Genomic DNA, 27,070 nt, shown 5'->3' on the forward strand with positions numbered 1-27,070 from the left:
GGTAGATAAGCTTTTTAATGTGCTGCTGGATTCTGTTTGCCAGTATTTTACTGAGGATTTTCACATCGATATTCATTCAGGGATATTGGCAGACACCGAGCTAGCTATAGGAATTTTTTTTTTCTTATCCCAGTGGTGCCTGGAATGCCAGCGAGACACAACTGTTCACTCCCCTGGAAAGGGGGTTGAAGCCAGGGAGCCAAGTGTTCTAGCTTAGTGGATGCCACCCCTACGGAGCCCAGCAAGTTAAGATTCACTGGCTTGAAATTCTCGCTGCCAGCACGGCAGCGAAGTCAGCACAGCCTGAAGTCAACCTGGGATGCTTGAACTTGGTGGGGAGAGGGGCGTCTGCCATTACTGAGGCTTCAGTAGGCAGTTTTCCCCTCATAGTGTAAAAAACTGCCACTGGGAGGTTCAAACTGGGCAGAGCCCACCACAGCTCAGCAAAGCCACTGTAGCCAGACTGCCTCTCTAGATCCCTCCTCTCTGGGCAAGGCACCTCTGAAAGAAAAGCAGCAGCCCCAGTCAGAGACTGATAGATAAAACTCCCATCTCACTGAGACAGAGCACCTGGGGGAAGGAGCACCTGTGGGCACAGCTTCAGCAGACTTAAACGTTCCTGCTTGAGGTCTCTGAAGAGAGCAGCGGATCTCCCAGCACAGCACTCAAGCTCTGCTGAGGGACAGACTGCCTCCTCAAGTCGGTCCCTGACCCCCATGCCTCCTGACTGGGAGACACCTCCCAGCAGGGGTCGACAGACACCTCATACAGGAGAGCTCCGGCTGGCATCTGGCGGGTGCCCCTCTGGGACAAAGCTTCCAGAGGAAGGAACAGGGAGCAATCTTTGCTCTTGTGCAGCCTCCATGGTGATACCCAGGCAAACAGGGTCTGGAGTGGACCTTCAGCAAACTCCAGCAGACCTGCAGCAGAGGGGCCTGACTGTTAGAAGGAAGACTAACAGAAGGGAATAGCATCAACATCAACAAAAAGGTTGTTCACACAGAAACCCCATCTGAAGGTCACCAACATGAAAGACCAAAGGTAGATAAATCCACAGAGATGAGGAAAAACCAGTGTAAAAATTCTGAAAATTCCAAAAACCAGAATGCCTCTCTTCCTCCAAAGGATCACAGCTCCTCACCAGCAAGGAAACAAAACTGGATGGAGAATGAGTTTGATGAATTGACAGAAGTAGGCTTCAGAAGGCGGGTAATAACAAACTTTTCTGAGCTAAAGGAGCATGTTCTAACCCAATGCAAGGAAGCTAAGAACCTTGAAAAAAGGTTATGAGAATTGCTAACTAGAATAACCAGTTTAGAGAAGAATATAAATTACCTGATGGTGCTGAAAAAGACTAGTACTTTTTAAGAACTTGAACCCTCTGTAATTCACTCTGTGCTTATTTTTCCTAACCACTGTATGTGTGTTATATTAAAAGTATTTTAAACATAAAACTGGGCTGCAGGCAGAAGGTAAGTTTGAAACATTCTTTTACTTCACCATCAGCTGGAAGAAGAAGAGAGCCCAGAGAGGAAGATAAGAGTTGGTAGTAACTGGAAATGAGAAGTCTTCGGTGAAACCCTATTGACCTTCAGTGTGAGAGAAAGGATACACCAGAAGTTGAGTAATGACCCTGGCCTTCCCCTAAACTCTAGTTCTTACTAGAAATTTGTGGATTCCCTGGAAATGCAAAAATAGTGTAGAGGGAGGTAGCGTACCCATATTTAACTAGTGGACACAGCTATTTACTCAGATATATACACTTGTCCAAGCATGCACTAGAACCTAAGTAAAATATAATTTTCTAAAATGACTCTCATGTATGTAAATTAATGAGAGAACCAGCAGGATGGTAAAGCTGATTCAAAGAGAATTTTAAATACAATGTATGTAGGCACTGAAAGAATGCTAGACAATTACTAGGTTAGATACAAAATTGATTAACTTCCTACTGGGCAATTAAACTGTAACATTTGGATATATCTTTTTTACCAGATAGGAATCCCTTGCACCTTTAACAGATAAACACCTACAAGATTTCATACATAACTTTGGGGGTTGGCCTCAATCAATAGTAAATAATAAAATACACCAAGGCACAAATAATCTTATAAAGAATAACATAACTCTGCGGTGACCCCAATGGAGTACTCCAGCATGCAGGACATGCAGTCAACCTGGCACTTTAAGGCTAAGCTCAGATACTTTTTAAACAATATGTAATAATACTAGTAACTTTCCATTTATTGAGCTTTTATCTATTAAGTGCTAGGCACTGGGCTATCTTACCTACTTTATCTCATTTAATCCTCTCAACATTTCTCTATGTGAGAAGGTTGGGTCTGATCTCACATAACAAAGGGCTTGCAACCAGAATTTGGGACAGGCAAAAAACAAGAAAGGAATGAAGGTAGAAGGAAGCTGTATTCCAAGTCAGGTACCTGCATCAACAAAAGCAGAGGCAGGAAATTTTAAAGTATGTAATTTTAGAGTAAAAACAAAAGAATACAGAACTCTAAAATTGTTACTCCAATTTAATTATATGCAAACATACATTTTGGCTTACCCAAATACATTTTAGACTAATTAGGTACTTTACATGTTTCACATAACACTATTTGTTACAAAGACAATAGGTAAAAAGACAAAGATGTTATAGTAGTTCTATGAAGAAGAACTGGAAAAGAAAAGAAGTAAATAATGTCTTGGATGTTTAATGTCCAAAGAGATAATATCAAACTTATTAAAATCAAGAGATGAACCATTTCATACACCTCACTTTAATATGAAAACATGAGTTCCATTATACTATTTCACAACCACAGAAATCAGCACATTGTAAATTGTTATAATCTGTTTGCTGTTACCTTCAGGAGTGAGTATGTGAGTACATGCACCCACATGCTTGCCAGGCAAACAATTTCAATCATTGCAAGACTAATACGTATTTAGTAATCTCATTCAGTCATCAAATCTTTTCAGTATTAGGTTAGACACATGAGACTGTTTTTTATAAGTAAATATCTTTGGGAAACAGCAACATTCTTTTTAGAAATTGTGATTTATTATTACTCTGAGGAAAGGATTGATTTCGCAGAATCTTTTATTTCTGGCAAGTGTCCAGCTCTAACTGCACTGTAGTGACTACATTGCAGGGGCACTAAATTCACCTGAAAAAAAAGTTCTGTGGTTTAATTAAGTTTGCATGTCCAAGTTGGAGTAGCAATCGATTCTATGATTTAATTTTGAAATTCTTCCATAAAATAAATGGAAGCATAATTGATTTCACCAGATTAATGGTTATTAATATTTAGTCAATATAATTAGGTGTACCTGGGCTAGAAAATTCAAAGAAAAATCTATTGTATTAAGAACTGCAGATTCTAAAGAGCACAAAGAACCTCTGTGCTCGAGCCTCTTTGATGTACAAGAAAACTGAGGCTGTTTTATAAGTTGATCAGTTTGTTTTCATCTATAAATTTGAATTCCTAAAATATGAAGGATTGTTGGAGAGAGATGTTTACCCAGTCTCTTCATCCTTACTCCTTTCTTTGAAAGACTATGAGTTACCCTCAAGTGTCCATGATACATGCACCAGAAATACACAATCCATGACTGAGAAGAATAATTCGATTCAAGAAAAGATGTCAGTGATATTTTGGTTTTGCGAACAATATAATCATAGAGCTTTTTCAGAATATTCTCTACCACTCTAAAAGCAATGGTTGCATGCACAATCAGTATTTTTAAACCCATTCTCCTCCTTGGCGTATTCCAAGGAGTAACATCGTCCTGGGATACTGTTGAAGAGCAGTCTTAAAACTTTTAGAAGCAGGAGAATTTATTATGCTACCTTCTTTCCAAGTCACCCCGTCCGAAAATGGAAGAGCATCTTTGGCATTTTTCACCAAGGTAAAAATCATGGTCCATGTGCTCAGTAGGTAGGTCATCCTCAGTACATGTTTTTTTACCTTCTAGGTGGACAACCGCCACTCTAGGGATCCAGTGGTAGGTAGGGATTGATCTTGAAGCTGCCCTTTACCTATTTGCCCTTTACCTACTCACCCTTTACCTATCATTTATCCTTCACCTGTTTACCAGGGGAGAGCCAGCACATACCCACTCACTTGAAAGGAATCTCTCCTCCCAACTTCCAAAGAGCAAATCATTCCCCACCCCATATTTTCTTTCTCTGTATGCCAAGCAGCTTTTTTGAAAAAGGCTGAAACACTAGGTGTATCAGTCAGGATTAAGTTATATTTTGGCAACAAATGTCCCCAAAAAATCCATGAGTTAACAATCACAAGAGTTTTATGTCTCAATCATATCACATGCCCATCTTGGGCTGGCTGTATCTCTGCCTTATATCATATTCACTCCAGGGCCGTGGTGGATAAAATAGAAGCCTCTAGCTAGAATTTTGTGGGTCATTGAGACAGAGGAAAAAGAAAAAAAAAGATGGCTCTTAAAGATTTTGCTTTGAAGTGATGCAAGGCAATTACACTCATATTTCATCGTTAGAGCAAGTCACATGGCCAAGTTGTTATTCAATTATTCAGGAAAATATAAAGCTATTCCTGAAAAGGGCAGCAAATATTTGTGAATTGTAATACCATCATCTACATCAGGGAGCAAAAACAGTAGGAGGCAGTTTCAGATTCATAAGAAGTATTACAAAAGGGATCTACCTTTCTTAAGGAGAAAGTGGGGGAAGGGGCTGAACATACATGTTGGTGACCAGAAAAATGCTAAATGTAGAGTGGTGAGATGTACCTTTTTAAAAGCATACAATTTACTAACCAGCCTTAGACTTATAGTAGATGAATAAATAGAAAAATAGATGGATAAATAGCTAGGTGGATAAATAGCTAGGTAGATAATGGAGGAATAAATGGATAGATAGATGATAGAGAGTAGAGATAGATGATAGGTAGGTAGGTAGATAGAGATAAACACTCAAACACTCATACAAATTTAAACATAAAATATAAAACTCTACATGTTATTTTAGATTAAAGTTGTTCATTTAATTTTTTAACTAAATTCACAGGCATTATGCTCTTAAGTTCATACTTTTAAAACAGAAGTTTTGATATAAATGTTATTTTATTATCTACTTGAGTTGAACATGTAAATATAGAGTTTTCTATCATTTTGGAATAACGTTTTGCATTTCTCTGGAATCTACTTAGCTGCAAATTTACAATAAGATTTTTATAATGCTACTTTTTTTTACAGTTTGTATTTCCACTTTGAATCATTGTTTTCTTTTCATCTTGAGTGATGCCATTCAGTTACTTGATTCGACGTGGGTATTGACTCTCCTAAATTTCAGAAATGTAAGTTAATTTATCTAAACTTTTGTCCAATTTTATCCTTTGAAAACTCTGGCTAAATTCTCATCTTCTAGAGAACATAGAATTTTAACATTTTTATGTTTGTGAAATATACACAAAAATGAAAGTAGGAATCTTAATAATTCAGTTTCTCTTCTCTGTGGCCACTGGATTACTTGTAAGACCCTGGAGACAATGAGAGGTGAGATAATAGTAATTCATTTAGCTCTAGTATAAAGATAGTGATAGAAGGGAAAAGTTTGTTTCCTCTATTCCTTCGGAAAACGCACAGAACTATTTCATTGTGATTAATTGTGGTGAGGCACAAATGTGAAAGCCAAACAATCTGGTCCTAATTTTTCTTTAAAGCAATACATCTGTCTACACACATAGAAAAACAAATAATAAATGAATTCAGCAAATTTGTAGGATACAAACTAAATCCTATTTCAAACATACTAAAAATAGTCTAACCAAAGTGTAGGACTTGTACACTAAAAACAACAAAACAGTAGTTGAAATATTACTGAAAAAAAATGAAGAAATCTAAATAAATGAAAAGATATCCCATGTTCATGGAACAGAAAATTTAATAAGATTTGAGCAGTACACCTGAAATTATTTGACAGATTTAACACAAAATTCCAACTGCCTATTTTGCAGAAATGAGCAACCAGATCTTAAAATGCATCTGGAAATTCAAGGGTCCCGGAGTAGCCAAAATCATCTTGAAAAAGAAGAACAAAGTTGCAGGGCATATATCTCCCAATTTCAAAACTTAATACAAAGTTACAGCAATCAAGATAGTGTGATACTGGCATAAAGATAGACAAATGGACCAATAGAATAGAATTGAGAGTCCAAAAATCAACCCATACAGTTATGGTTAATTGAGTTTTGACAAAGGTGCAAAGATCATTCTGTGGGGAAATAGTGCTTTAACTGCTTCAACTGGATGAGTCAATGCATGGTGCGGGGACAACTGGATATCCATGTGCAAACTAATAAATTTGGATCCCTACTTCATATCATACACAAAATTTAACTCAAAATAGTTCAGAGACCTAACTGTAAGAATTAAAACTATAAAACTCTTAGTAGGAAAATAGCTATAAATCTGCATGATCTTGGATTAGGCAATGGGTTATTTTAGATATGATACCAAAAGCATAAGCAACAAAATTAAAAACAAATAAGTTGAACTTCATCAACATATAAAAAGGACACCATCAAGAAAGTAAGAAGACAACCCACAGAATGGGAGAAAATGTTTGCCAATCACACGTATTTGATAAGAGTCCACTATCTAGAATATATAAAGGACTCTTGCAACTCAACAATATAAAGAGCACCTGATTAAAATGAAGACAAATGATCTGAATAGATATTTCTCCAAAAAAAAATACAAGTGGCCATTTAACACATGGAAAGATGCTCAACATCATTAATCATTAGGAAAATGCATACCAAAACCACAATGAGATACCATTTAACACCCAGTAGAATGGCTATAATTTTCTTAAAAGAATAATAAGAAGTATTGGTGAGAATGTGGATAAATTGAAACTCCTACGTTGCTGGTAGGAGCATAAATGATGCCACTGCATGGCAAGAGTCTGGAAGTTTCTTACAAAGTTAAACATAAAATTACCACATGACCAAGCAATTCCACTCACTGGTAAATACCCAAGAGAATTGAAAAGAAATGTTTCCACAAAATCTTGTACATGAAAGTTCGTAACAGCATTATTTATAGTAGCCCAAAGTTGAAACAACTCACATGTCTATCAATGATGAATGGATAAACAAAATGTGATATATACATTTAATAAAAGAAACTATTCAGCCATAAAAACAAATGAGGTATGTTACATGGTGCAACATGAATGAAACTTGAAAACATTACGGTAAGTGAAAGAAACCAGACACAAAAAGCCACATAATGTATTATTCCATTTATGTGAAGTTTCCAGAATACGCAAATACATGTAGAAAGTTGATTTGAGGGTTGCCAGAAGATGAGGGAAGAGAGAAATTGTGACTAATTATGCATATATATATATGGAATTTCTTTTTGGAGTAATGGAAATGTTCTGAAATTAAATTGTGGAGATTATTGTACAACACAGTGAATGCACCAAAAATACTGAATTGTACACTTTAAAAATATAAATTTTCTGTTATGTGAATTATACTTCAACAAAAAATAAAGTAATACATCTTTATAAGTGTTTGATTATTTTCCTCTATCATTGACAATGCTATTTGATATTATAAGATCCCACAAGTCATAGCCCTCATCTATTTAAATCATTTTGATTCTCAATGTAGAGGGAAGAGAGACACAATTAGATTATCTCAGCTACTACAGCTTTATGTGAAACAGAGACAAGAAGGCCTCACAAAGACACAGAACCAAAATATTGTTTAAAATACAACAATTGTTGTATTAGATCTGAAAGTGGTTCTGGTGTCTCCACAACTCTAATTATTGTCTTCTGAGAAACTGGCCACCTTTGATCTCTCCTCTGGTGTTCTGCCTTTGAGTATGACTCAGCTATTTTCTCTTTTGCCTTCTATTACTCTTGCTATGCATAACTTTGTCTTGAATGTCTCTCAGTCAGATTCCTGCAGAATAAGCATGCAATTGGCTCATCCGACATATCCAGTGAGATTATCCTTGATTGGCAGAATGCTAGTTCCACACTTCCTACAAGAACACTGGCTACTCTACAGATACTCTCTATATTCTGGGAAAAGATTTCAGGATCATATAATATAAAGTAAGGAGAACTCTATGTATTTCTTCCCAACATGGATATTCTGATGTTTTCATGAGAAAGCATCAGTCAAACCCAAATTGAGAGATATAATGAATAAATCTATGCTTTTTAGAAATGGCAATACCACAAGAGACAAACCAAGGCTGAGGGACTCATCTTGATGAAGACAAAAAAAGACATGACAACTAAATAAGATTTATGATTCCAAATTGGATCCTGAGCCAGAAAAAAAAAATGCCATATTGGGCCTACCAGTAAAAATGTAAAAGAACTACAGGTTAGATAATAGTATTGTATTGATGTTAAGTTTCCTAATTTTGAAGATTGTACAAAAGTCATGTAAGAGTATGCCCTTTTCTATTAGGAAATGCACTGTGATGGTTAATATTGAATGTCAACTTCATTGGATTGAAGGATGCAAAGTATTGTTCCTGGGTGTGTCTGTGAAGGTGTTGCCAAAAGACATTAACATTTGAGTCAGTGGACTGGGAGAGGCAGACCTACCCTCAATCTGGGTGGGCACCATCTAATGAGCTGCCAGGGCGGCTAGGATAAAAGCAGGCAGAGGAACATGGAAGGACTAAACTGGCTGAGTCTTCCGGCCTTCATCTTTCTCCCATTCTGGATGCTTTCTGCCCTCAAACATCGGACTCTAACTTCTTTAGCTTCTGGACTGTTAGACTTACACCAGTCATTTGCCAGGGGCTCGCAGGCCTTTGGCCACAGACTGAAGGCTACACTGTCGACTTCGCTACTTTTGAGGTTCTGGGGCTCAGACTGGCTTCTTTGCTCCTCAGCTTGCTGACAGCCTATTGTGGGACTTTACCTTGTGATTGTGTGAGTCAATACTCCTTAATAAACTCCCTTTCATATATATATATATATCCTATTATTACTGTCCCTCTAGAAAACCCTAATACATATGCATTAAAAATGTTTGGTGAACTATTTTCAAATAGTTTCCTAAAATTCATAAAATTTATGTATATATGATATGCATATATGATATGTATTTGTCATATTAGGATATATTATATATAGCATATATTTATAAGGTATATTCATAATATGTATGTAGTATTATATTATGGGCACATATATATTTAATATAAATTTATCCAATACATACACATAATCACATAAAGAGAAAAATATTAAAAGAGAGAAAATTGTATAGCAAATGCACAAAACATTGCTGGTTAGAGGATCTGGGAAAAGAGCATTCAGAAGTTTTTTGAACTTCCAACTTTTTTCCAAGTTTAAAATTATTTTAAAAGAAAAAGGAAAAATTTACAAATGGATAATGAGCTATGTACAAGGAAGCACTAAAAAAGGGGGTCATGGTCATGGCTAAATTATGATCCAGATTAAGTGTACCAGTATACCTTGGAGATATTGTGGATTTGGTTCCAAAGCAGCACAATAAAGTGACTATCACAACAAAGCAGGTCATGCAAATTTTTTCGTTCCCCGGTGCATATAAAAGTCATATTTATAACACATTTTAGTCTCTTTAGCAGGCAATAGCTTTGTGTCTAAAAAAAGTACATGCCTTCATTTAAAAATGGTTTATTGCTAAAAATTGGTAACAATCATCTGAGCCCTTAGCCAGTTATAGTCTTTTTCCCAGTGGAGTTTCTTGCCTTGATGTTGATCTGCTAACAAATAAGGCTGATAGTTATCAAAGGCTCGGATGGCTGTGGCAATTTCTTAAAACAAGGCGGCAATGAAATTTGCCACATTGCTGGACTTTTCATGAAAGATTTCTCTGTACATGCAATGCTGTTTGATAGCATTTTCCCCACAATACCACTCCCTTCAAACTTGTAGTCAATCTTCTCAAATTCTGCGACTGTTTTATTAAAGATGTTTATATGATATTTTAAATCATTTGTTGTCATTTCAACAATGTTTATAGCATCCTCACCAGGAGTAGACTCCATCTCAAAAAACCACTTTCTTTGCTCATCCAGAGAACCAACTCTACATTTGTTCAAGTTTTATCATGAGATTACAACAGTTCAGTCATGTTTTCAGGCTCCACTTCTGAATCCAGTTCTCTTGTTATTTTCACCACATCTTCAGTAATTTCCTCCACTGAAGTCTTGAGCTCTTTAAATCACCTGTGAGGGTTGTCACCACGTTGTTCCAAAATTCTGTTAATGTTGATATTTTGACCTCCTCCCATGTATCACAAATATTCCTAATGGCATCTAAAACAATGAATATTTTGAAGAAGTTTTTCAATTTACTATGCCCAGGTTTATAAGAGTAATCACTCTCAATGGTAATTATAACCTTATGAAATGTATTTCAAATATCTTAGTCACAAAACAATTCTGCTTCATCTACTTGTGGCAGTCTTTCTCAGGTCCAATAAATCACTTGGATACTGCTTGTAAGAAAATGTGGAACGATAGTCTTTTCACCAATGATAAATATTTGCTCCAATAATATAAATTTTACACTTTGCTGATTCATTGCTTCTAAAAACACAAAAAGTTTTCAGATTGAAGGCTGAATCACATTGTACTCTTTTTAAAGACATTTTGGAGGGCAAAATGTCAACCCATGTATCAACAACCATGCACTTGACTCAAATGAAGTGGGAACAATATGAAGACCTGTGACCAAGTTGCCATAGTTGTTGACCTGAGATAGGGGTCAGCAAACTTTTTCTGTAAAGAGCCAGATAGTAAGTATTTTAGGTGTTGCAGACTATATGACTGCTGTTGCAACTACCCAACTCAGCCTTTTCAGTACGAATGCAACCATATACAAAATGTAAGGGATTGAGCATGGTTGTGTTGCAATAAAGCTTTATTGCAAAAATAGGTGCAAGCTTTAGTTTTTTGACCCCTGATTAATGGAATGGGCACATGACCTAAGCTGGCACGGTAAGATTCCTCCCTCAACTGGAGAAGAAAAGTGTTTAAAATATCAGACTACAACCAAAACTGAGTGCTACTTGCAGCCAACTTTCCAGCCTCATGGGGACAACTTGGCTGAAAAAATGGAGCTAACATATTGAAAGAAGCAAATACAAGAGACAGAATCATCTCAGTATTCAAGGATGTGAATCATTTTTTTTTCCTGAGGTCAACGCTTCCCCTGACCTTTCTGTGCTTTGGTTACATTAATCTATATCGTCCCTTTCTTGGGATAAGCTGATTCAACCTCTTTCTATTGTTTATTATCCCTGGCTAAGTAATCTTGGTAGAGTTACTTTAACTCTCCAGATCTCAGTCTCTTCACTTAAAATATGTGAACAAAAATGAACCTACTTTACCAGATTTATATGGACATTAAATGATATATGGGAAAGTGCATAGAGCAGTGTCTGGCAAATAAAAACACTAGGCAAGTATTGATTATCATCATCATTATCATCAAACATTATTAATAGTTTGGTTGGTTTCAAGAATATAACATGTATCTAGAATATTATATTTGCATTAAGAGAGAGGAGAGTTCATTCACACAGGTAAACCTTGGCAAATACAGCTCATTAATTTTTCTCTTCATAGTAAAGATTATAGTGGCAATGGAGGGAAAGACCTGTCAATAATATGCATTATAAGACTGATATCTTCAGAATTCAGGAATAAATGTGCTAAATTAAACAGAAGCATGGCCATAAAAATAAGCATGAAGCCTACGTTTATAACACAAGGGCTTAAGTCAGATTGATTTATTTCTTAACTAAGTTGTTCTTCAGTAAATTGGAATTTGGCAATATATCTTATTAATCATTAAAATACAACCAGTGCTTCAATAGTTTGAGATGCCAGATAGAAACTACTTGTGAAAATCCAAACCATAATTAGAGCAAGTTAAATAATTCATATCTATTTTAAAACATTTAAAACGTCCATTTTGTGATAATCATTTCTTTATTCTCTTTATAGTTTTATTTCTCACGTATACATTTATAATACGATTTTGTTTGGCTGAGGCTGTCAGCATCCCACCCATAGCCCTTGCTTTTAGCACTTCAATGCACACAGCTCTCAATGCCTAAGGTCTTTGCCCAGGAGCTTTCACTTGCTGTTAAAGCACATTTTGTTGTGCAACTGGACCAGAAGTGCTGAAAAATACCCATAGAGCACCCTTCAACAATGACGGATGGGAATTGGTATAAATGTACTCTGGCTCCATCGTCTCCTCTGCTGGGACAACTGAGGAGTGCTTCACACTGGCTCTCTGAGTTTATCTAGTGGGGTTAAGCTCCAGTTGTCCACAGTGGTAGTTGGTTATCTTCCTCGCCTTCCTACTAGGGTTGCCTTCATCCCACAAATAAACCATATGCATTTAAATCCTGATTTCAAAATCTGCTTCTGGGATAATTCAAACTAAAATAATTGATATCATACATTGCTCTATGGAGCAAATCTTCAGGATGGGATTCAGAAATTGAATAACTCCCTGGGCATAGAGCAACAAGAATCCCATTCCTAGTAGTATAGTATCAAATCTATAGACTCTCATTTGTGGAAGATTGGGTTCCCATACTTACGTAGTAGCTGTAGCATGAAAGAGACCCTACCCTCTTTGCCATAGCCAGAGGGAAGGCTGCTGAAAATCAGATGCAAGGTCTAATTGTGGAATTATTTAAATTTCAAATAATGCTAAATTCACAGCCCCAGCAATTCTCCTATGCCAAATACAGAGTCGTCATAAAGAAGAAATGGGACCCAGAGACCTGAAACAGAAACATCTGGTCTTCTGTGCTTGAAAATCTTGACCCCTCTGTGCTATGTAAGACCTCCACTCCCCCATGCTAGATAGCCTCTCCTTGCTTGGAGATCATGCAGAAGTCTCACTTAAGGAAGATCCAATATATAGATAACAAAGACAGAATAATAACCGAGGAACTCTTTCTCACAGATATCTGTGGTGATATCTAATAGCCATGGTGTTTTTAGAGGCAAGATGGGTAGGCATCCAACAAAGATGTTGCATGACATGTACAACCTATAAGAACAAGAGCAGAGCAGAAGACAGTCATTAGTCACCATAATAGAAAATTGTTTTCTTACTCAATTTCCAAACCAGAATCTATTCTGAAAACTAGAGCCCTTCAATTGAAGAGAATGCTAGATCCCCTTCCCCTTAAGGAAGAATTTTGTAATGCTACAGCCAAGTACTTAAATAGTGATTTCCCCATTCCTTCCCACTTAAGGGATATATGGCCATTTACCCCAGTCATTCTACACAGAAGAAAGGAGCACATCCATGACTTTTAAAATCTGTCCTTACTTCCACTCACGGCTTGTACAGCAGTTACTAGGGTTATGCCTCAACACAGCCTTACTGGCGATGAACTGCTCTTCCATGAGAGGAAACGAACTATGTACCAAACATTCTGCATGGCCTGGCTAATATGCATAAGCAGCAACTGAGAGGATATACCTGAAATTGAGGGAGTAGAATATAAACTGGATAAGGGTGAACTCATTGTGAAGGGCACTCTCCTGTAACTCAAGATATAGCATCTCAGCAAGGACTTATGGAGCCAGTCCTAATGCACTATTGGAATGGATCCTTGGGATTTGGGGAAAAAACACAGCATATAGTGAATGAGGCAAGATGTTGAAATTGCCTAATAGGAGTATTTAGAAAGGGATAAAAAGACAAAGGAATGAACATGCTGTAATGTATTCAGAATATAGGACCAGAGAAGCTACCAGCTGACCCTGTCTCTGGAGAGGGCCCCAAGAATACTCAACTTAGATTGGCTCCTTGACTCATGGAGTAAAATCATCATAACATAAAAGGTAGTAGAAAACAGTAGAAATCCTTGAAACTGCCTTCACTTCAGGCAAGACAGTAAATTAGAAACAACCAATCCTGGATGGAATGGCAGAGATTAATATCTCTCTCAAAAGTGTAAAGGATACAGGAACATCATATCTCCCTCTAATTCACCAATCTGGCCCTTGCAAAAACCATATGGATCATGATGGATGAGAGTAGACTACATCACAGTCTTTCTGGGACTCTGGTAGCTCTCCTGATCTCAAGCACAATATAGTCCAAAGGAACCTCAATCCTCTAGACATTTCTCAGAACATCGCCTCCAGCCGCAGTATTTGATGCAATCATTGGAACTGAGGATCATGAAGTTGCAATACTCCAAATGCCCTTGTAAGGCAAATGCACCTCAGAGGACTGGATATAATCCCTTCAAAGATTCAAGGGCCTGCAACACTAATGGAGGATTCAGAGATTTAGTGGTCTGTGGAATGCAGTAAAGGAAGTAAAGGACAAGTTACTGCATGTTGCAATTCTTACAATTAAGAAAGAGGAATTTCATAGTTATTTAGTAGATCTCTTTGGGTTGTGGAGAACATATACCACATTTGAGAATATTACCTCAGGCATTTATTGCATCATTTGGCAGATTGCCACTTGGGGTTGGGCCCAGAACAAGAAAGGCTCCATAGCAGTTTCAGTCTGTGGTATAAATAACAATGCCTTTGGGAACATACACTCCAGCCAATCCTATTACACCAGAGATGTTCAAGATAGACAGGGATGCTGTGCAGAGTCTGAAAACCCTGAAGCAGGGCTCTAACGAAAATTGACAATAAATAGTGTATAAATATCTCAACTTCATTACCCCTAAAATAAGTTAATCCTGGTGCATGTTTTTCACTGGCTCTCTAGTGTTACCATAATGGGATTAAGTTGCAGACATTCACAGTGGTTAAGTGGTTTGAAAATGCACTGCTTCCCTTCCTTGTCTATTTCCTCGCCCTTAAGCTTTTTTTTTCTTTCTTTTTTTTTTTTTTTTAAAAAAAAAGACAGAGTCTTGCTCTGTCACCAGGCTGGAATACAGTGGTGTGATCTCGGCTCACTGCAACCTCCGCCTCCCAGGTTCAAGCGATTCTCCTGCCTCAGTCTCCCGAGTAACTGGGACTACTGGCATGTGCCACCAAGCCCAGCTAATTTTTGCATTTTTAGTAGAGATGGGGTTTCACCATGTTGGCCAGGATGGTCTCAATCTCTTGACCTCATGATCTGCCCGCCTCAGCCTCCCAAAGTGCTGGGATTACAGGCGTGAGCCACCGTGCCTGGCCACTCTTAAGCTATGTTTTGTCCCTCCCAAATAAGCTACTTAATTAAACCAAATTTGCCCATTTTTGTAAGTTAAAAATGGTTGAAGATCTGAAGTTTCATATGTTTCAACTTAATGCTTGAACTTGAATCCTTTATTTATGGTTTTGTCTGGAGCTACCAATGCTAAATAATTAGTTTCGCCTATTTTTTGAGTTTTGTATAAATGGAAATCATACTTCATGTATTCTTTTGTAACTTATGTCTTTTGCTTAATATGATGTTTTTCAAATATCTACATATTGTAGCATGTAGCTATGCTTCAATTATTTTTGCTTATGTATAGCATATTCCACTATCTGAAGACCTCATACTTTTTAAATTTTATTGTTAGCAGATAGATGAGTTATTTTCAGTATGGGATTATTACAAACAGTGAAGCTAATAAAATCCTGGTTGGTACATCCTTATGTATATTTGCACAAGTTTCTCTAGGGTTTATACCTAGGAGTAGAATTGGTAAGCCATAGAGTATGTCCATATACTATCTGTTTCTTAAAGAATATTCAAAACAGGAAAAAATAACCTTTACTGGGAGTGCAATTTAGTGTGTACAGTGGCTTCCTAACCTCTAATTTCTACACAGCATACCTCCAGTGTGTGAATTGTAATGCTGTTCAGCCCCGGGAAGGAAAGAGGCAGAAGCTTTTGATTCTTCTTAGAGCGTACCCTTCCATATTTGCTTCTTGAAGAGCATAATCTCCCTAAGTTTTCTCTTTTTTTCAACAAATAAAGCCAATTCCTTTTGTCATTTCTTCATAGGGGCTATTCCCAATGCCTCTAACCATATTTCAATTGCTTTCTTTCAGAGTGCCTCCAAATTTTCAAATCTAGGGTCACCATGCAATTTGTTATCCACAACAGGTCAGTTTGGGGAATAGAAAGAAGTGCTAAAATAATGAACAGTTTTAACTGATTTACCACAGAGGTAAACTAGATCATCCCAGGCAAACCAAAATGCACTGTCTCCTTATTCATATAACACTAACTGTGTGTGTTCTCAAATCAAGTAAGGAATGCCTATGGAGGACTGACTTATATTAAATATTAAAGAAGAGTTGTCGGCTGCATTACACATTCCTATTTGTAATCCCAGTCTCAGGGACTTTCTTATGACTATATTATGCGTAAGTAACAGCACATAAACAGGAAGGGCCAAATATTGGTCTCTTCGTGGCAATGAGGTAATTTTACCTAGGTTTCAATTGTGTCCTTTAGGGAAATGGTGACTGCGTATTTAATCCTCAACTTAGTAATAAACACAAATCTCAATAGTATTTAGTATTCAAAGGAGATTTTTCAAAGGTACTAGCTGGTTGCTAAGTAACTATGAGAAAGAAAGTGAAATAGGGAAGATTTTCCCAACTTCTCTTGTATTTACTGATTCAGAAAACAGTTCTCTTTTACATAGGACTTGTCTGACAATTTGTACTTGGAAAATTGAAAGTGTGACATTTCTACAAGCAGAAATATGCAAAAACTATCTTAGGCACAAAGAAATACCACAGGATTAGTATTTGTTTTTACAGAACAGTCTATCAGGCATCTCACTGTTTAAAAAAGTGAAATGTCTGGATTAAAATGCAAAATGTTTGGGGAAAAGTCTAATTGCCTCAGAAATATTTGGATTTTCTCAAGTAGTTTGTTAATAATAATACTATTGCTAAAAGCCACTAATTACTAAAAAGCTACCTTGTGGTTGTCACTGAATTTCAAACTTTGGTTACATTATCTAATAAAATCCCCTTAACAATTTTGTAAATTAGAAATTTGCTATTTAAGATAATGAAGCTCGAATGGTTAAATAAATTACTTCTCAGTTCCAAGTTAATAAATGGCTGAGCTGATACTGGAACTCAAGATCATTTAACTACAAAGGTCTTCTATTTTTTTATAAAATATTCTGAGGCTCCAATTTTGTTTGCTGCATCATAAAAGATGCTACAGTTCAAATAACATTAAATTAATCTAGATAGAAAATATACTGCCAAGTCTGGAGGATACTAGGTTACCAAAACAACAATTCAAAATGATGTCAATAGAGATGTGGGGGCCAGCTTTTTAACAAATAAATTTTATTTTGTATATTTGAGGTTTACAACATTATGTTATGGGAACTAAAGGAATAATAAAATAGTTACTATAGTGAAGTAGATTAACATATCGATCACCTCATGTAGTTATTTTTATATCCTTTTTTGTTAAATTTACTTATTTAACAAAATCTCTAATATAATACAATTTTATTAGCTATAATTCTCATGTTGCGCATCTCTAGATGTCTAGACGTGCTCACTCTACATATCTGCTACTTTGTATCCTTTGACCTATTTCTCCCTATTTCTTCCTTCTCCCGCACCCCACTGTTCTCTATCTCTGTATACAGTCGAGCATCAGTAATGATGTTTTAGTCGACAACGGACTGCTTATACAACAGTGGTCCCATAAGATAATAATGGAGCTGGAAAATTTCCATAGTCTAGTGATGTTGTAGCAGTCACAATACATTACTTAAGTGTTTGTGGTGATGCTGGTGTAAACAAACTTACTGTGCTGCCAGTCATGTGAAAGCATAGTACATTCAATGATGTACCACACATAATACTTAATAATGATAACAAATGAGTGTTACTGGTTATGTGTTTACTGCATTATATATTTTTATTGCTAGTTTAAAATATATTCCTATGTATTCAAAAAAAGTTAACTGTAAAACAGCCTCAGCCAGGTCTTTCAGGAGGTGTTCCAGAAGAAGGCATTGGCATCACAGGAGACGACAGCTCCACAAGTATTATTGTCCCTAAAGGCCTTCCAGTGGGACAAGATGTGGAGGTGGAAGACCGTGATATTCATGATCCTGACCCTGTGTAGGCCTAGGCTAATGGGTGGGTCTGTGTCTTCATTTTTAACAAAAAAGTTTAAATAGAAAAAAAAGCAACATTTAAAAAATAGAAAAGCTTACAGAGTAAGAATACAAGGAAAAATTTGTTTGTGGAGCTGTATAATGTGTTTGTGTTTTAAGATGTCATTACAAAAGAGTCAAAAAGTTTTTTTTAATTAAAAATGTATATAGTTAACAAGATACCGTAAACTTAGCTTATTATTTTAGAAAGAAAAATTAATAAATTTGGTGTAGCCTAGGTGTACAGTTTTTTAAAGTCTACAATAGTGTACAATAATGTGTTAGTCTTTCACATTCACTCACCACTCACTCACAGACTCACCCAGAGCAACCCCGAGTCCTGCAAGCCCCATTCATGGGAAGTGCCCTATAGAGGTATGCCATTTAAAAAAATCTATTATGCCATATTTTTACTGTACCTTTTCTATGTTTAGATACACAAATACTTATCATTATATTACAGCATGCTGTACAGGTTGGTAGCCTAGGAGCAATAGGTTATGCCGTGTAGGTGTGTAGTCTGTAGTAGGCTTTACCATCTCGGTTTATGTAGGTATATTCTGTGCTGTTCACACAACAATGAAATCACCTAACAATGCATTTCTTAGAATATATCCCCATTGTTAAGTGATGCGTGGCTGTATTTGACTGTTTTATTTTGGATTCCACTATAAGTGAGATCATGCACTATTTTATTTCTGTATCTGGCTTGTTTCACTTAGCATAATGTCCGCAAGGTCCATCCACTTTGTAGCAAATGGCAAATTTTTAAGGCTGAATAATATTTAACAGCATATGTATCACATTTTCTTTATACAGTTGCCTGTTGATGGATACTAGGTTGTTTCCATATCTTGGCATTGGGAATAATGCTGCACTGAACTTGGGAGTGCAGATATCTTTATGAAGTGCTAATTTCAGCTCCTTTGGATATATACCTAGAAGAGGGATTGCTGGATTGTATGGGAGTCCCATTTTTCATTTCTTTAGGAATCTCCATACTGTTTTCCATAATGGCTATACCAATCTGCATCCCCACCAACTGTGTACTAGAGTTCCCTTTTCTCCACACCCTTGCCAATGCTTATCATCTTTTGGATAATAGCAGTCCTAAGCATATGACTAAGAAGAGTGGCTATTAGACCCTCTCAGGGGGTGGCGGGGCAGGGAAATGAGAGAAGAAAATTTAATTTTGAAATTAAAAACTAGTGACTTACTGACTTATTTAAGTCTAGATTTTAAAGTATTCACTAAGCACCAAATAGGGGCACAGCCAACATATCAAAGCATTGATATTCACCAAGAATGAAGAAGTTTTAATGATGGCTACCATCTATGATTAGTCCAAACTCTGCCTCTATTTCTTAGATGGTTGCAGAAAAAGCAAAAGAGTCCTCTAGATCAGAGGTTATCAAACTCTGCCCATGGGCCACCTGCCTGTTTTTATAAATAAAGCTTATTGGGATACAGCCAGGACCACTAGTATTTTGTCTATGGCAGCTTTCACACTGCAATAGCAGGGTTAAGTAGATACAATAGAAACCAAATGGCTTCCAATCCTAAAGTGTTTTCTACCTTCCTTTCTAAAAAAATGTTTGCCCACCACTGCTCTAGATCAGAGTTTCTCAGCCTCAACACAACTGACATTTTGGGTCACACAGTTTTCTGTTTTGTGGGGCTTGCCTGTGCAGGTGCTTGGCAGCATTTGTGGCCTCTACCCACTAGATGCCAGTAGTCCTCCAGCAGGTGGGCCAACCAAAATATCTCCAGACATATTAGATGTCCCCTGGGGATAATGTCACCCCTATTGAGAATCACTGCTCTAGATAAGCAGCATTTTTTTTCTAAGCTTACTGCAAATTTCTGACACAAATTGATCTTCCATATCTATCTGCATAGAAACATATGAAGGAGCCAACTTGACAAAATCTTTATTGAAAACACAGAAATAATTTAAAAACAAACAATCTACAAACTCTCACCTCCACCCAGTCTGCCCAACAAAACATACTTGTACTCATACACCCTGTCTTCTCTCTCTTACAGTAACTGTTGGTCCTCCTTTCTAAGGCTAATTCCTCCATCCCAACACAATCTCATTCTCTCTTAGCTAATCAAGGACTTCACTACAGTAACTCTTTCCCCACTGCATCACCAATTTTTCTTTACTAGGTCAGATCCATTAATAACATGTAGCTATTATTTCTCGAATCTTAAACAAAATAAACCTTCCTCTTCCTCACATCCCCTTCTAGTTACTGTTCACATTTCTTGGATACCATTTATAGAAAACCTCGTTGAGAGCAATGAGAACACATGGACACAGGGAGAGGAACGACACACACCGGGACCTGTCACGGGCGAAGGCGGAGGGAGAGCATCAGGATAAATAGCTAATGCATGCAGGGCTTAATACCTAGGTGATGGGTTGATAGTTGCAGTAAACCACCATGGCATGCATTTGCCTGTGTAACAAACTAGCACATCCTGCGCATGTATCCGAGAACTTAAAATAAAATAAAGTTTTTTTAAATGAGAAAACCTTGTTGAGAGATATAACCCTTCAGATTCTAGAATTATGATGAATTCAAATGCAGTGCATAAGAAATCGATACCAAGATCTATCTAATGAAACTGAAGGCCGGATGCTATGGTACAGGCCTGTAATCCTGGCACTTTGGGAGGCCAAGGTGGGCAGATCACTTGAGGTTAGGAGTTCGAGATGAGCCTGGCCACAATGGTGAAACCCAGTCACTACTAAAAACACAAAAATTAGCCAGGCATGGTGGTGAGCACCTGTAAGCCCAGCTACTTGGGAGGCTGAGATAGGAGAATCACTTGAACCCAAGAGGCGAAGGTTGCAGTGAGCCGAGATCATGCCACTGCATTCCAGCCTGGGTGACAGAATGAGACTCTGTCTCAAAAAAAAAGAAAAGAAAAGAAAATGAAGAGCACCAGTGACAAAAAGGTTAACCTAAAAGCAGTCAGAGGGGGGGAAAAAAAGCAGTTAACCTACAAAGGAAACTATTGATTTCTTATAGCAACAGTGAAAGCCAGAGGAAAGCTGAATAATATCTTGGCAGTGCCTGGGCAAGGAAAGGGTGCTGCCTACTCTTGAAGGCTCCACTGAAGGGTGAAGCCTCCACTGAAAGGGTCGCATCCTTCTGCGGTGCTAACTTAGTTGTATCATCTTTAAAAGACAAATAATGACAGTTAACACAGTACTTGCATTGCTTACCTTATAGTGCAATCACTTCATGTTGCAACAACGGAGGTAGTCTGGTCTCAGCATCTAGGCAGGTAACAATTCATCTATATCCTGCTTTTTGTGGTATTAGAAGCAAGGGTACCTGCTTAGAATGAAAGGGTGGAGATGCTTCAGGCAGGGAATAGAGAGTGGCTCAGTAGCTCTGCATCCCCTTTACTGTTTTGTCTAGAAAATACTCTTTTGGCAGCCTGTGTTATCAGCACTTTGACAGTACTCAGTGGAAACAATGAGCTAAAAGTTTCTGCATACTCTTTAATCCCCAGAGTACCTACAGCACACAGTATACTTCCCAAAAGTGGTGTCTGTAACTCCAAGGAAACGCAAATTAAAAAAGTAGCAGAGCTGCATAATGGTAGAGAGTGATGATGTCAATACAATAATGCAATATGAAACACTATTTTTAGGAGGATATTTTAGGAAGTAAATATTTCAGTAACCTGAGGCTGCACTGTCTTCAAGATCTCAGCTCCAGTGTTTCTTATAATTAATTTGCTAATAGTGTCAAAGATTCAAAGTTTGACATCAATCCACTATTTCAAGTTCATCCCTTTACAAACATCATTTCCACTCATTTGGCTTTCCAGAAATGTTTAGTGGAGTGGGAGATAAAGGAATGGATGCTAAAGTCAACAAGAATAGATTAATAAATAACCAGAAGTCTATTTTCTGTGCCACACTCATTAATGGTGGACTATCACTGCTGCTCCTTTTACTGTTGCAGGATTGTGAATGACTGAGAGTGCTTATGAGTTGTAATGTTGTAATCAATTTTGTTTCATTTTTAAATTTTAAAGATGAATAAATGTTTAATTCAGAAGAAAGCAAATATAAATGAATAAATTATCAGTGGTGGATCTTCTCTGAAGTACACAAATGAGATTAATGCTCTAAGCACTTCTGTTCATAACACACAGTATTGATCAAATTAAGAGCAGGCAAAACAAAGCACAGGTGAAAATTCCAAAACCCTGTTTAGGTTAATGACATTAAAATCTGTAAACTTTACATACTGGATATTTTAAATTGTTAAGTTATACTATAACATTCATCTTTTAAAACGTATACAATTCACCAGTTTTTATACACTCACACAGTATTTTACCACCCCAAGAAGAAACCCCATACCCATAAGCAATCACTCCACATACCCTTATACTTCAGCCCTTATCAATTACTAATCAATTTTCTCTACAGATTTGCCTATTCTGGACATTTTACATAAGTGGAATAACACAATATATGGCCTTTTTTGTGTCTGGCTTCTTTCACATAGCCCGATGTTTTTAAGGTTTATCCAAGTTGAGACATGTATCAGTACTTCATTCATTTTTTATTGTCAAGTAGCATTTCATATATGAATTGATATAGTTTGGCTGTGTCCCCACCAAAATCTCATCTTGAACTGTAGCTCCTATAATTCCCACATATTGTGGGAGGGACCCAGTGGGAGGTAATTGAATCACAGGGGCAGAACTTTCCTGTGCTGCTCTCTTGATAGTGAATAAGTCTCACAAGATCTGATGGTTTTATAAAGGGTAGTTCCCCCACATATGCTGTCTTGCCTGCCACCATGTAAGGTGTGCCTTTCTCCTCCTTTGCCTTCCCCCATTATTGTGAGGCCTTCCCAGCCATGTGGAACAGTGATTCCATTAAACCTCTTTTTCTTTATAAATTACCCAGTCTCAGATATGTCTTTATTAACAGCATGAGAACTAATATAGTAAATTGGTACTGGTAGAATGGGGTGCTGCTGTAAAGATACTTAAAAATGTGGAAGTGACTTTGGAACTGGGTAACAGGCGAGGTTGGAACAGTTTGGAGGGCTCAGAAGAAGATAGGAAATGTGGGAAAGTTTGCAACTTCCTAGAGACTTGGAGGGTTCAGAAGACAGGAAGATGTGGGAAAGTTTGGAACTTCCTAGAGATTTGTTGAATGGATTTGACCAAAATTCTGATAGGGATGTGAAAAATGAAATCCAGGCTCAGGTGGTCTCAGATGGAGATGAGGAACTTCTTGGTAACTGGAACAAAGGTCACTCTTGCTGTGCAAAGAGACTGGCAGCATCTTGCCCATGCCCTAGAGATCTGTGGAACTTTGAACTTGAGAGAGATTATTTAGGGTATCTGGCAGAAGAAATTTCTAAGCACCAAAGCCATCAAGAGGAAGCAGAGCAGAAAAGTTTGAAAAATGTGCAGCCTGGTGATGCAGTAAAAAAGAAACAAACATTTCCTGGGGAGAAATTTAAGTCTGCTGAAGTTTGCATAAGTAACAAGGAGTCAAATGTAAATCACCAAGACAATGGGAAAAAATATCTCCAGGCCATGTCAGAGACTTTCATGGCAGCCCCTCCCATAACAGGCCTGGAGACTTAGGAGAAAAAATTGGTTTCATGGGCCTGGCCCAAGGCCCCAGTGCTCTATGAAGCCTTGGAACATGGTGCCCTGTGTCCCAGCTGCTTCAGCTCCCACTGGGATTAAAAGAGGCCAATGTACAACTCAGGCCATTGCTTCAGAGGGTGCAAGCCCCAAGCATTCGCAGCTTACATGTGGTGTTGGGCCTGCAGGTGTACAAAATCAGGAATTGAGGTTGGAGAACCTCCGCCTAGATTTCAGAGGATATATGGAAACACCTGGATGCCCAGGCAGGAGTTTGCTGCAGGAGCAGGTCTCTCATGGAGAACCTCTGCTAGGGCAGTGTAAAAGAGAAATGTGGGGTCAGATTCCCAACAGAGTGCTCACTGGGGCACCACCTAATGGAGCTGTGAGAAGAAGGCCACCATCCTCCAGACCCCAGAATGGTAGATCCACTGATAACTTGCACCATGCACCTGGAAAAGCTGCACACACTCAATGCCAGCCTGTGAAAGCAACCAAGAGAAGGGCTGTACCCTGCAAGGCCACAGGGGCAGAGCTGCCCAAGGCTGTGGGAGCCCACCTCTTGCATCAGCATGACCTAGATATGAGACATGGAGTCAAAGGAGATCATTTTGGAACTTTAATGTTTAATGACTGCCCTATTGGATTTTGGGCTTGTATGGGGCCTATAGCCCTTCATTTTGGCCAGTTTCTCTCATTTGGAATGGGTATATTTACCCAATGCCTGTACCCCCATTGTTTTTGGGAAGTAACTAACTTGCTTGTGATTTTACAGGCTCATAGGGGGAAGGGACTTGCCTTTTCTCAGATGAGACTTTGGACTGTGGACTTTTGACTTCATGCTGAAATGAGTTAAGACTTTGGGGGACTGTTGGGAAGGCATGATTGGTTTTGAAATGTGAGGACATGAGATATGAGAGGGGCTGGGGCTGAATGACATGGTTTGCTGTGTCCCCACCCAAATCTCATCTTGAATTGTACCTCCCATAATTCCCACATGTTGTGGGAGGGACCCAGTGGGAGGTAATTGAATCATGGGGGTGGGTCTTTCCCATGCTGTTCTCAGTATAGTGAATATGTCTCACAAGATCTAATGGTTTTATAAAGGGTAGTTTCCCTGCACATGCTCTCTTGCCTACTGCCACATAAGACGTGACTTTGTCCTCCTTTGCCTTCCACATGATTGTGAGTCTAGGGCTAGGGGAGGGAGTTCCCCAACCCCTTGTGATTCCCGGGTGAGGAGACACCCCACCCTGCTTCGGCCTGCCCTCTATGGGCTACACCCACTATTTAACCAGTCCCAGTGAAATGAGCTGTGTACCTCAGTTGGAAATGCAGAAATCACCCACCTTCTGCACTGATCTCACTGGGAGCTGCAGACTGGAGCTGTTCCTATTTGGCCATCTTGCCAGCCACCTCAAGTTAATTTTTTTATACTGTGAAAGGTAGGGGCCCAGTTTCATTCTTCTGCATAAGGGTAGCCAGCTATCCCAGCACAAATATAAATTTAATAAAGTTAACATCTTTGATAAAATTGATGGATTTATTGAAATACATGAAATACTGGACCTGATTCAAAACATAGAATTCTAAACATCTTTTTATATCTACAAAATAAATTGATTCCCAATTTTACAAACTCTTCACATAAAACTCTAAGCCCAATTAGTCTCTCTGGTAAATTCTATCAAACAGATTAGAAATAAATAATACCAACCTACAAAAACTCTTTTTGAAAATATAGAAGGAAGAAACACTGCTTTTCAATTCTTTTTATGAGGGCAGCATAATCTCAGTACTAAAACCTGAAAAAAATTTAATAAGAAAATTATGGACCAATATATTTCATAAACTTTGAAAAAGTCCTTCATAAATTATTAGCAAATTAAATCATGCAGTACATAACAATGGCAATACAAAATAATGAGGTGGACTTTATCTCAGAAATTCAGGGTTACATTTGGAGATCAATCAATGTAATTGGCTGCAACAAAAGAAAAGTAGAAATATTATGTAATCATAATATTTTTTGATTGCAGAAAAGTCATTTGATAAGATTCAGCATCCGTTTGTGATAAAAACAAAATCTCTCAGCAATTAGGAATAGAAGTTAAATTCCTCAATTTGCTATACAGGGAGTGTGTAAAACCTACTGCTAACATCAAATTTGATGATTAAGTGATAAAGACTTTTACTTTAAGATGAGGAGAAAGGTAAGGATGTTTGTCTTGCCATTTTTATTCCATATTGAACTGGAGGACTTATTAAATAGATAAAGGCAAGAAAAAGACAGAGATAAGGATTGGAAAGAAGGAGATGAACTGTGAAGCTGAGCACTGTGTTTACCCTCTGCCAAAGGCTCCATATAGTATCCCTATCTACTACTAACACTTTAAGCAACTTCAGATCTGCTGGATCATATGGCCCAACTGGCACAGTAGCTTGTACAGCAGCCTGTACTGCTGCAGAGCCTTCTCTTCTTCTGGGCTCCAATCAAAATTGATAGTTTTTGAGATCTTACAATAACTAGGTTGGAATAACATACTCAAAAGAGATATATATTGCCTCCAAAATCCAAAGAGGCCTGTTAGGTGTTGTGAATTTTCCTTAGCGTTAAGAGAGGGTAGATATAGCAACTTCTTTGCCTTGAATGGGGTATCTTGACATGTCCCAGACAACTAGATTCCTAGAAATTTCACTAGGATAACTGCTAATTTTTGTGGACTTTTATTTCTTACTCATGTACAAGCAAGTGTCTTACTAATGTGTCTAGATTAGTTGCTAATTCTTGGTCACGAGTTCCAATTACATATTATGGGTTAATGTGTGTCCCCCCAGAAGTCAAATATTGAAGTTCTAACCCCCAGTACCAGAATGTGACCTTATTTGGAAAGAGATCTAATTTTAAGATCAAGTCATGCTGGAGTAGGTGGACTCCTAATCCAATATAACTGGTATCCCCATAAAAAGGGAAATTTTGGAAATTTGGACACAGAGATGCACATAGGAAGAATACCATGTGAATATGAAAGCAAAGGTAAGGATGATACAGCCACAGCCAAGGAAAACCAAAGACTGGCAGAAAATCACCAGAAGCTGAGAGAGAGGCTTCATAGTCATCCCACATCTACTCACTCCTGGCCCCAGAAAAAAATAGTGATCTTCTATCACCACAAGTTTCTTCTTGTTCTAGAGTTTCATATAAATGAAATAAGGAGTGTGTACTCTTTCCATCTGGATTCTTTTTCTCAGCTTAATATTTGGAGATATTGTTTGTGTATAGTAGT

At 37.7% G+C, this 27,070-nt stretch overlaps 2 long non-coding RNA genes across 2 annotated transcripts in view; one reads left to right on the forward strand and one right to left on the reverse strand.

Annotated features, from left to right (window-relative positions):
• The window catches only part of EPM2A-DT (EPM2A divergent transcript), a 151,717-nt gene that overhangs the window by 7,040 nt on the left and 117,607 nt on the right, over positions 1-27,070 (forward strand). The gene's annotated exons all lie outside the window — the stretch shown is intronic.
• LOC105378039 (uncharacterized) lies at positions 10,163-21,711 on the reverse strand. The gene is made up of 3 exons (XR_007059799.1): positions 21,379-21,711; positions 12,822-13,093; positions 10,163-10,332 (listed from the first exon to the last, which is right to left on the reverse strand). It is a non-coding gene; the product is annotated as an uncharacterized LOC105378039 (long non-coding RNA).

Source organism: Homo sapiens, chromosome 6, assembly GCF_000001405.40.
Source record: "Homo sapiens chromosome 6, GRCh38.p14 Primary Assembly".
Taxonomy (NCBI): Eukaryota; Metazoa; Chordata; class Mammalia; order Primates; family Hominidae; genus Homo; species Homo sapiens.